We start from the raw sequence: 12606 nt of genomic DNA on the forward strand, positions 1-12606 counted from the left end.
TGGGAAATATAAATTAAGACAATAATAAGATTTTACTCCCCAACCACTAGCTAGCATGGCTAAAATTAAGAAGGCTGATAGTATCAAAGTGTTGGCAAGTATGTAGACAAACTGGAATCTCATACATTGCTGATTGGAATGTAAAATACCATAGCCACTTCGGAGCAGTTTGGCATTTGTTTATAAGTTAAACGTACACTTGCCATCTGACCTATCCTACCTTCACATAAAATGGATGGATAAATAAAATACGGCGTATCCATGCAATGGAGTACTATTCAGCGATGAAAAAGAATGAGCTATTGATACATTTAACAGCATTGAGGAATCCAAAAAATGTTACGTGGACAGAAGCTAGACACAAGAGACTACGTATTTTATGATTCTGTTTATATGAAATTTCTAGAAAAGGCAACATGATAGAGACAGGAAGCAGCTAAGAGGTTACTTGGGCCTGGAAGATGGGAGCAGGGATTGATTACAAAGGATATGAAGGAGCTTCTCAGAGTGATGAGAGTGTTCTTAAACATCATTGAGTTGTTTACTTATAATAGATAAATTTTATGGTAGGTAAATTATACCTCAATACCTAAAACAGATGCAAGTTTCCCATAACCCAACACACAGTAGGTCTTCAATAAATGTTAATTTCCTGTAGTCTTTTTATGACGTTCATCCTGAGAACAGTTATATCAACAAGATACTCAAGATCCGGATTAATGTGGAATAGACTTAGCAATTGGTTCCAAACAGGGATTCACTTTTTTTCCCAGTAAAACAGTGCATTGCTCATTATATTCTTCTACAAATAGCATTAGGTGATTTGTGTGGTGGGGAGAATCTACAGAATAAACTATAAGACACGTAGAATGTATTTTCAGTTAAAGGATTTCATTAAAAAGAACTGAACATTCAAAACTGGACTTCTGAATTCTGCCTGCAAAGGTTATAAACCTCAGGAACATCTGTAAAGATGTCAGACTATATCATCCACGGACTGGACAGAATCCTGGTACCAGCAAGAAAGGTCCTTAAAGTCAAATATACCATTCCTTTTAAGAACCAAAATCTCCAGTGCAGTCGATTTAGGCTGCATGTTTATCCTCAGAAGCCAGAGTGCAAAAGGGATAACCATCAGAACCCTCATTTTATAGGTGATAAACACAATCTTTCCTCCTAGATCTTTATCTTTGTTACTAGTGAGCGAGGCATCACTTGTAATCTCTTAGGATCTAAAGGAAACAGTGCAGGTTATTTGAAATTTTATTTTTTTATCCTGTGACTCCCTGTCTGTTTTTAATCTCAGTGGGTCCTCTAGAAGGTTGACTAGTGTAGTCTCTCCCTCCTCTCCCCCTCCCCTTTACTTCCCTCTCCCTTCCTTCACTCCCTGCATTCTCTGTCCCCCAACATTCTACCCCCCAACACACATAGTGAATTATTTATCAGTAATGCCCTTTATTAGCAATACTGTTGAAAGATGAAGACAACATTTTTTCTTTTTTGAGTCAGGGTCTTGCTCTGTTGCCCAGGCTGAGGTGCAATGGCGCAATCATAGCTCACTGCATCTTCAAACTCCTAGGCTCAAGCAATCCTCCCACCTTGGCTTCCCAAAGTACAGGAATTGCAGGTGTGAGCCACTGTGCCCAGCCTAAGACAACATCTTTAGGAACCTTAAAGTCATGAAGAAAAACAAACCTTGCACTTCTCACATTTAAAAAATACACACACTGTTTTTAAAAGAAAGTTTATATGCAATACCTTGTTAGTGTTCTTTATGGTTCTGAACTCTCTTTGCTAGTTTAAGGAACATAAAAATATATTATCTCTAACTTGGTCCGCTCGTAAAATTGTCATGTTCAGTATATTAAATTTAGAAGGATAGTCTATTCAGGCAATACACATTCACTAATTGAATTTACTTTGAAATGTTTTTAATTTTTTATATAAATGGAGCCTTAAGCAGTTGAACTCTTAAGAAACTCATATCTTACTTTTTGCCAGTTTGGGGAAAACAGCAAAACATTAAGCTCAGAAGGAATCATCAACTTTTTAGTTATTCTAATAAAATTGCTGAGTTTTTTGGACTAGTGAAATCCACAGTGGCCAAAAAAGTCACTTAGGACATTTGTTTCCAGAAAAGGAAATGAGAAATAAACGAAGAATCTTTCTCCAAAGATTCTTCCCAAATAAATCATAAGAAGAATTTTTCCCAAATCATAAAACACACCTTTGGCCACATTTTTTTTTGGATTGCTTTTTATTTCTGAACTAAATGCTAGCAGCTTTAGCTTTATCAACAGCAATGATTTCTGCAAGCTGAAGGCTTCTCTAGAAGACTATGCCATTTCGTTTCTGCTTTCCCTCATGCAGTTCTGCTTCTTGGTTTGTTAACTATAGCTCTGTCTCTTCCGTGTGTTGTAGAAGACAGAGAAACCAGAATTAGATGAGCAAGAGGTGTGACCGTTTTTCAGAGGGGTGTGTCTGGCAAAACCTTAAACAGTATTTCTCAAATAGACATTTGAAGATGTTCTTTACCTGTGCCTTCGAAACCATCCACTAAACTCCCCAGTCAAAATTCTTTGTCCCAGATTCAAAGCTTCCATAGAACTTTTCTCTTTCCTTTCTTAAGGCAGATTTATTTATCTCACCTTTCTTTCAAAATCTAACCTAGTGCCCAGCATACAGTAAAGCCTCAGGAATTGTTTGTTAAATAAATCAATAAATGAAATCAACTTTTCAAATATGAAATTTTAAGTATCCTGTTCAAATAAGCAAAATGTGGTAGCATCCATTAGCATCTTTTCCCTCTGTATTTTGGGTCCAGGAGATTGACAGCTGCTTAACTGGCCAGCCACAAAGCTCTGAGCCTTTCTTAATTATGTCTTTCACCTAGCTTCCTTGAGTACTTGTGTCTGAAGTTATGCTGAGTGTCTCCAAATAAGTGATTTTGTCTGGACTTTTGCTAAGTTAGGTATGATGGAAATATGTTTTCTGATTGTGACACAGTGATTGCAAAAGAAAGTAGATACCTTCCTTGACTTCTGTGCTCTATATCCTTCTGGGTACTCTATGATTCTTTGTTTTTAATATTCTTAGGCTTTTATTTTGAAAAAAATTCGGAAAGGATGCTACTGTTCTATCCCATCACATTTTGCAACATAACGTTATTGTTAATACTTTTTCTTTCTCATTCCTGTGTTCAGCCAGTATAGCCATGGTAGTTTTGACATATTTTGTGAGTAATTTTGCATTTCTGCAGATGATTTGCATTATAATGGGAAAAGCTTGAGCTGTGTCATGTGGAGATCTGAGTCCTAACTAATCCTGGCTTCATCACCTACCTGTTTTGTGATCTTCATCTACAAATATAGAAGGCAACACATTTACTGCACAATGGTCGTAAGGGATAAGTGATACATGTAAAAACTACTGGGGGCATTTTTAGCACTTAATAGTTACTTGGTAAGTATTGAAACAAAATCATTTAGAAAGTGCCTACTTTTATTCTCTCATTAACAAGCAACTTTATTTCATGGGATGCAAATCTTATGGCAATTTTTTTATTATTATTATACTTTAAGTTCTAGGGTACATGTGCACAACGTGCAGGTTTGTCACATAGGTATGCATGTGCCATGTTGGTGTGCTGCACCCATTAACTCGTCATTTACATTAGGTATATCTCCTAATGCTATCCCTTCCCTCTACCCCCACCCCATGACAGGCCCCAGTGTGTGATGTTCCCCACCCTGTGTCCAAGTGGTCTCATTGTTCAATTCCCACCTATGAGTGAGAACATGCAGTGTTTGGTTTTCTGTCCTTGTGATAGTTTGCTCAGAATGATGGTTTCCAGCTTCATCCATGTCCCTACAAAGGACATGAACTCATCCTTTTTTATGGCTGCATAGTATTCCATGGTGTATATGTGCCACATTTTCTTAATCCAGTCTATTATTGATGGACATTTGGGTTGGTTCCAAGTCTTTGCTGTTGTGAATAGTGCCACAATAAACATACGTGTGCATGTGTCTTTATAGCAGCATGATTTGTAATCCTTTGGGTATATACCCAGTAATGGGATGGGTGGGTCAAATGGTACTTCTAGTTCTAGATCCTTGAGGAATCACCACAGTCTTCCACAATGGTTGAAGTAGTTTACAGTCCCACCAACAGTGTAAAAGTGTTCCTATTTCTCCACAACCTCTCCAGCACCTGTTGTTTCCTGACTTTTTAATGATCGCCATTCTAACTGGTGTGAGATGGTATCTCATTGTGGTTTTGATTTGCATTTCTCTGATGGCCAGTGATGATGAGCATTTTTTCATGTGTCTGTTGGCTGCATAAATGTCTTCTTTTGAGAAGTGTCTGTTCATATCCTTTGCCCACTTTTTGATGGGGTTGTTTGATTTTTTTCTTGTAAATTTGTTTAAGTTCTTTGTAGATTCTGGATATTAACCCTTTGTCAGATGGGTAGATTGTAAAAATTTTCTCCTGTTCTATAGGTTGATCTTATGGCAATATTATGAAGTCTTTATACCTTATGATCTCTCATGGGTTTTCATGTTACTGGTAAATTCAAATAGCATTTATTGTGTGTCAAGTGTATGACTCTGCACTGAGCCTATAAAGCTAAGTAAGAAATGGTTGCTACCCTGGAAGAGTTTATAAGCAACTAGGTGAGACAAGTTTAAACAAAGAAGCACAATTCAGCATGTTACTTGCTTGATAAGAGGTAGTTTTAAAATTGGAGAGGAGCACAGTGCACAACAAATATAGTTTCATGGCTCAGGTTCCATAGAACTTCAATACTGCCTAACTGGTTTGTTTGGCTGAATATCTTTTCTTTCTTTCCCCCCCCAGCTTTATTGAGGTATAATTGATAAATGAAATTGTACATATGTAAGGTGTACAATGTGATGGTTTGATATATGTGAAGAAAAGGGGAACCCTTGTGCACTGTTGATAGGAATGTAAATTGGGAGAGCCATTAGAGAAAACAGCACGAAAGCTCCTCAGAAAATTAAAGATAGAACTACCATATGATACAGCAATCCCACTTCTGGATATTTAACTAAAGGAAACAAAATCAGTGTCTCAAAGAGCTACTGCACTCCCATGTTCCCTGCAACAGTATTCACAATAGAATAGCCAAGACATGGAAGCAGCCTAACTATCCATTGATGGATGAATTTTTTAAAAAGTGGTACATAAACACACAATGGAATATTATTCAGCCATGGAAAACAGACATTCTACCATTTGGGACTGTATGGACAAACTTTGAATATCCTTCCTTGAAGCTTTTACAAGAACTCTAATTGAGGTGCTCTTATCTGAGAATTCAAGATTTTTTTACCTGCACTTTTGACCATCTTGCTGTAAGAAATCGTAGAGACAATACTTTGCTGAATCTTTGTCCCACTGTTTTCTTTCCCTCATTCCCATTCTGATTTTTAAGGACAGGCAAAGAAGATCTGTCTGTTGAGTAGACCACTTGGTACGTTAGGGGTTGGCAAACTATGATGCATGGACCAAATCTAGTCCACCTCCTTTTTTATATGGTCCACTCTCTAAGGATGGTCTTGACATGTTTTAGTGATTGAAAAAGTATCAAAAAAATTGTAATGTGAAATATGAAATTCAGATTTCACTTTCCCTAAATAAAGCTTTATTGGAATACAGCCATGGTCATCCATTGACTTATTGTTTATGGGTTGCTTCTGAGCTACAACAGCAGTTGAATAGTTGTAACAAAGACTATAGAGTCCAGAAAGCCTAAAAATATTTACTTATCTGGCCCTTTACACAAAAAGTTTACCAGCCTGTGTTATAAGTCATTCAAAATCTTCACAGCGCTGCACATTCTTTTTAACATCAACATGCAGTATTAGGTAATATGAGCATCCTGGTTGGGTGCCTCTTTTTGAAGCTACAAATGTTAAGTAAGAGGGGCAACCTTAGAGTTAAAAATTCTGGAAACATTAAGTGGACTTTCTCAATCTCAGTCTGTCCTATTTGATGCCTGCAATGTAATCTGAAGACAAGGGTTCCAGTTCCATTCTATCATTAGCAAGCACATTCATATCAGTCTTCTATCAGACTGGGTTTGCTATCCTAGTACAATATGAAAATGCATATTCAACTTGATAATATTTGTAAATCACATATAATTATTATCACCTTAGAATATGCCAGAAGTATGGAAATACATGCTAAGACCAGATCTAAACCATTTTGCTGAATAGTTAAAAGCCAACAAATAGACAAGTGTGGAAGTGGTTTTGCAGTGTCCTCACTTCATTGTTAAAGGATAAAACATTTGACACCTCATCTCACTTTTATTTTTATTTATTTATTTATTTTTTGAGATGGAGTCTTGCTCTGTCACCCAGGCTGGAGTGCAGTGGCATGATCTTGGCTCACTGCAACCTCCACTTCCCAGGTTTAAGCAATTCTCCTGCCTCAGCCTCCCAAGTAGCTGGGATTACAGGTACCCGCCCACCACACCTGGCTAATTTTTGTATTTTTAGTAGAGACGGGGTTTCACCATGTTGGCCAGGCTGGTCTCAAACTCCTGACCTCAAGTGATCGACTCATCTCAGCCTCCCAAAGTGCTGGGATTACAGGCGTGAGTCACCGCACCCAGCCCTCATCTCACATTCTCATTAGACAGATGACTTCACCAAACTCTGGGTTAGTGGCCTTCACAGGGGACCTTGAGTGAATGGGCATTCACAGATAGCTTTCACAGGAATAAAGATCTGCATATAGGTTTCTAGTCTGAATTATTATGTATCTGAACAATCCACCCTTCAAGAACATATACGGCTTCTTTTGCCTGCAGAAAGAGCCTGGAAGGAGCTGGGTTCTAAATCTCAAACTCTTAAGCTTGCTCCTTCTCCCTTTGTTGTGGGCCTTTGGGGAAATGATAATAAACTGCTTCTCATCTTTAGAGGAAACAAGTGTGTTTCTCTCAATATGTCATCTGCATCATCAAGGAGTTATTCAAATACCCACCAATCTCCGGGCCCAAAAAGTAGTGTAATCAGTTCAAAATATATGGGAACTTTTATAAAGTCTATACCCTTTGACTTTGACCCTGTAATTTCACATCTGGAAATTTAGCCTATAAAATTAAAACTAAGCATGAAAGAAAGGCTTAAATACAATAAGGTTTATTACTTTTTGTGACAAACATGTTTAATAGTGGAAAGCCAGAAATCATCTACCGTAAATTCATACGGGAATGAATAGTCAAGTAAACTATCATATGCCTACTTGATGAAATGCTATGTAGTGATTAAAAATTATGTTTATTCAGAGAATGATGTGTACACTATGCCAGGCATGAAGAAGTTGGATATACACTTGTTTGTTTTAAAATGATAACAGCAATGTAAATAATCTACAGATAGAGAACAGGAATACAGAAATACATTAATTCATTAACAGTTATTATGTATAGGTAGTTGGACTTTAAATGAGTTTTTCTTATTTTCATAAATTTTTTGTGAATGTTTATATAAAAGAAACTATTTTAAATGAAAATGAAGATATCCAGTAGCCAGGAGGCGAGAATAACACCCTCTCTTAATCTAGACACTGTGCTGGCCAGTGGGGGTTCAGCTGTAAGTAAGACTCACAGCAAGTCTGTCCTCATAGTTTGTAGTTGGACTGGGGAGGGGCAGGCCATAAACAATTCATTACTGAATGGGGTGAGCTCTTGAAGGCGGGGTGCAGAATGCTGTGAACACATGGAACAAGGATATCGAACACAGGAGGAGTTTAGGGAAGGTCTCCCAGAAGAAGTGACAGAAGCAGGGCTAGGAGATTAAGGACTCAACACATGAAGCCGGCAGGCATGAGAGAGTGTCAGACAGGTGAGATGGTGGAGGCATAGACTCCTCGAGGGCCTGACATATTCCAGGACCTCAGTAAGTTCAGGGTGGTGGGAGCAAGGGGGAGCCTAGAGAAGATGGGCCAGAATAACATGAGAGCCCGCCATGTAAACGACAGTTAAGAAATTTGTATTTCATCCTCAGGGCAAGCAGAGACTGACATGAAGAGACTTACATTTTGTTAAAGATTGCTTTGACCACACTAAAGAATCAGGTACAAGAAGGGACAAGAGTAGGTGCTAGGAGACCAACATGGGAGGGGAAGGGGCTGGCAGTAATCCAGGTAAAAGATGATAATGGGCTCAGGAATGTGGAAAAGAGTCTTCCTTTTGTGTTAGGATTAATATTTGGATAGATGGCTTGGGGATTTCAAATACCGTCATAACCCAAAACAATAAAGAGTTTTTATTTTAAAATCTTCTAATTACATAGCAAAAATTTTAGTTCTCATTTTTAAATCTTTTAATTGCCTAGCAAAGATTTTAGAAATCTTCAGGACCAAATAAATCCTGGGTTAGCCTGGGATGAACATCATACTGTGAAAATGTCATGTACTATTTTAAAATCATGCAGAATTTAAAATGTTAACAGTTTTCCAGTGAAGGGATGATGGTGCTGGGAAAATGGACAAATACAGTCTTCAAAAAAACCCAGAATGAGGGGGAAAAAAATAACATTTGGTTTGGTGACAGATCTCCTTCTGTCACCAAGAGCTCCAAAAGAAGCAGGGGTTCCAGTGTGGACCCCAGAGGCTGGCACACAGCAAGCCAGCCCTCCAGGAATCCTTGATGAATGAATGAATGAATGAATTAAAACAACTGGATTAAAGCAGATGTTTGAGGATTCTTCTTTGGTCTCCTTGGTTTCATTGTTTTTGTTTCCTGGTGACAGCCCACCCCTCATGTCCTTTACACGTATTTATAGTTTCCCTGATTCCTAATGGTGAGAAGTGCAGGAGAAAGTGGCCCAGGAAAGGCTGCCTTTTATGTGCTAGTCACTTAAAAATACTTCTCTTCAAATATGTTTAAAAATTAGGCAAATTGGAACCTTGCCCACTTTTCCTGAAAAACTAGCAAGCCAGAAAACTTTTTATTCAAATATTTATCATGAATGCTATTTGGCTAAAATGTAGACTTTGTGGCTAAACATAACTTCGTAAATATGCATTTACAATGCTTGTTGTAAGCATTCCCAAGAGCCAAAACTAGAAAAGGCTCACATTCCCAGAAAGGGGAAGGAAATTACATTTTGGGGGACTGTTGTGTCTCAAGCACTATGCTGACCTCCTTTTACAAATGAAGATATCAAGGACATATACTGAGTGATTTATCCAGAATCTAGTGGTTAATGGCAAATCCTAAACTTGAACTCGGGTCTGTCTGACTTCAAAGAGCATTTTCTTATGCTATCCCTTTTTGCTCTTATGTCATAAAAGGAAATCAATGAAAATGTAAAAGCCCTAGTTAGTAAGGTGCTACAAGCAAAAGTCCTTTGGAAACCGTTACTGTGGACTTAGAGGGGAAGAAAGAGAAATCAGGATTCATAATTGACCTCTTTCTCCTCTTGCCTTAGTCCCTTAATTTTTATAGCTTTTTTAATTGAGAAAAACAAGAAGTTGCCTTCCCTGCTTGTTAAGCGTTGGCATTGTTGTCTGCGTCTTGTCCACCCCCATGTTGAGTTGTTTTCAAAGTTAACTAATTTCATGGATTTCATTGTTATAGATAGATCAGTGTATTGTTTCTCCTGTTTTAAAAGAGGTTTTTCCCTGAGTTCTTCTCCTCCTGAATGCTACCTATCTCTTACAGGATGTTGTTGGGACATTATTCAGTCTCAGTGTCTAAGGCCTGGTACGCTGAGGCTCTTTACATTTGTCACAGTCGATAATGATGTTCCCATCTGCCAGGCACATGGAATTGGTGGCATTCAGCAAATCTTTGTTCCAGTCTGGTCCCAAAGACTATTTTGGAATTGTCTTGTAAATTATCTCTTTCCTCTCCTGTGTCCTCATCATCTAGCTGTGTCCTCATCATCTAGCTGTGCCCTACTGTGGCAGCTAGGGAAGTCGGCCTCGGAATCTAATTAATGATGTCTGTCTTCCCTCTTCAACTCAACTGTGAGCCTCTGGAGGCCAGAACCAGGTCTCATTCATCTTGTATGTCCCCTCCCCAGGCCTCCAACAAGGGGAGCATAACACCTTACATAGAAGGCGTAGCCCATGGCAATTTTTTGACTTTAGCCCTGCACCAGCTTGTCATGCCTGAACATTCTATGCATGCAACTGGAGAGGTTCTGAAAATCGATTCATGATGAAGGTAAATTTTGTGCTGCCATTGATCTGAGAACCCAAAATGGAAAAATCATTAAAGACTTTTCTTAGTGTAGATTTTTGTTCCCCTCCAATGATACTTTGAAGAAAGCTTGGATTCCCACATTATTCTGACCACATTTTACATGAATAAAAACCAGCCATAGTTAACACTTTTAAAGAGCTTTTAGGGGTTAGTCATCTAGGTTTTTCTCAGATAATCCCAGCCTTGATACATAGGCTGTGGTCAGCTTCAAAAACAGTAGTAACACTAACAGTAATAATATTATCTTCCATTTAAACTAGAGTTAAGGATCAGATGGCTGTCATCTGGCCTAAGCCGGGACAGCCTGCAACACCCTGGTTGATGGGATCGTGGCAAAGAAGGTTGTATTGTGTCTCACTGCTAGTGGTCGGCATGCTTGCAGAACTTCTTCACCTGCAGAAGTATTTGAAACTTGGGTTGTTATAAGAGTTACACCTTTGAATTCAACTACAAAAAAAATGTGTTTTGGATATTTACTCTATACTCTAGCCTTCATTTTACTTTTGGTCTCCTGCGTACTATAGCTCATGTTTCTTCACAAGTTTGGTAATGAAGGTCCGGTGTACAAAAGTTCCGGTGAAAATGATGGAATGTGGGAGCAAAGGGCTGCTCCATCTCCAAAAGAGTCAAAACGAAGAAAAAGACCTCTTAGGCCCCGGAGTTGTTTGGTCCTGGTTGCAAAACCACAGTCACAGGAAAATGATGTTAGAAAGATCTCTCCATCAGGGAGAACCCCATTTGGTCTGCGGTTTATTATTCCATCATTTGTTTGGGCCTTTTTCAGGTAAGCCGTAACTTTGAGCTGGTTGGACGGGTTAACTTGGATCAGCTGGAACAGATGAAGGAGAAAATGGAGAGCTCCAGCAGCGATGATGAGGACAAGGAAGAAGAAATGAACAGCAAGGCTGAAGACAGAGGTTAGTCTCATCCTGCCCTCCCAATCCCAGATGGCATCTGGCATGTCCGTAGTGAGACAGAAGGGAGGCAGGAGGTTGTTGTAGGAGTAACAGAAGGAATGATCCTTCTTAGTTAAGTAGCAGAACAGACTGACTTAGAAAACACATCAAGAGCTGTGTCTTTGTAAACTATTACCAGCTATAGAAACGCCAAGGAAAACAGACATTTTCTCCCTAATTATAGATATATGTTTGTTGAAAAATAGATGGCAGTGATTTGTTTTTAATAAGGAAAACTGGTATCTAGGGAATCTTCAGAATAAGGACAAGCAGACAGCAAGATGGATGACACTGTAGAGCTCTAGAGGAATGAGAATGAACTTCCAGTTGAATGCATATTTAAAATTGCTGCTGGGGCACACACTGCTGGAACTGTAGGGGACGGTGGTGCAAAGAACTTGAGCCCCTACCCCCTGATGTCCCTCTGCGTGGCCCTTTTCTTAACCCCCTTTGTGCTCTGACTTGCTTTGTAAGGAGAGAGAAAGAGAGACCACCTCTTTCATTCAACTATGTATTTACAGAATACACTGGGGAAGGTTTTGTGGGACTTTGGTACTATTTTTCTAACTTCCTGTGAGTCTATAATTATTTCAAAATGAAAAAGTTTTCAAAAGTATATTTAGTTGTGGATATACATTTATGTGATTCAGAGTTGGTTTTCTATATTGTTCAACGTAGAATATTGTGAAAAACCCCAGACTATACATACAAGAATATAGGTTGAGATATGTTACTTTAGTTATTGCAGATTTATCAGAAGCACGTGGATAACATAAACATCAGAAATCAACATTGCAGATATTGACCCAGAGATGAGAATAGTACTAGTTGCCATTACTGAGCATCATTATGTGCTAGCCTCAGTGCTGGTCGTTTTTATATAACATTTTTCTTTAATCTCATGACTAGAGAGGACTGTACATTTAGCCTGCTTGAATTTGGTTTCCAGTTCTGCTACTTACTGTCTAGATGGCTTGGGGTAAATTATTGTATTTCCTTGTACATTCATCATCTGTGAAATAATCACAATCGTAATAATGAGAATAATATCACCTCCCTCCTAAGATTGTTGTAAAGATTTTTTTTAACTTTAAAACTTCAGATTTTGGACTTTTTAAATTTACTTTTTTAAATTATTTTAATAAAAATTGTATATATTTATGATGTACAACATGTTTCAAAATACATATACATTGTGGAAAATTAAATCAAGCTAATTAACATATGCATTACCTCACATACTTGTCATTTTTTATGGTGAGAACACTTAAAATCTACTCTCTTAGCAATTGTCAGGTATACAATATGTTGTTATTAACTGTAGCCACTGTGTTGTACAATAGATCTCTTGAGCTTATTTTTCCTATCTGACTGAAATTTTGTATCCTTTGAACAATATCT

At 38.2% G+C, this 12606-nt stretch overlaps 1 protein-coding gene and 1 long non-coding RNA gene across 37 annotated transcripts in view; one reads left to right on the forward strand and one right to left on the reverse strand.

The window, feature by feature from the left end:
• Positions 1–12606, forward strand: part of ZNF462 (zinc finger protein 462) — a 153477-nt gene that overhangs the window by 132103 nt on the left and 8768 nt on the right. For all 36 annotated transcript variants that reach the window (XM_047423662.1, XM_047423672.1, XM_047423680.1 and 33 more), the window contains one exon: positions 11034–11166. In XM_047423662.1, the coding sequence (XP_047279618.1) occupies positions 11034–11166 (133 nt within the window). The remainder of the gene's footprint in view (positions 1–11033; positions 11167–12606) is intronic.
• LOC340512 (uncharacterized) overlaps positions 1–12606 on the reverse strand; it is a 128156-nt gene that overhangs the window by 17428 nt on the left and 98122 nt on the right. The gene's annotated exons all lie outside the window — the stretch shown is intronic.

Source organism: Homo sapiens, chromosome 9 (genome assembly GCF_000001405.40).
Source record: "Homo sapiens chromosome 9, GRCh38.p14 Primary Assembly".
Taxonomy (NCBI): Eukaryota; Metazoa; Chordata; class Mammalia; order Primates; family Hominidae; genus Homo; species Homo sapiens.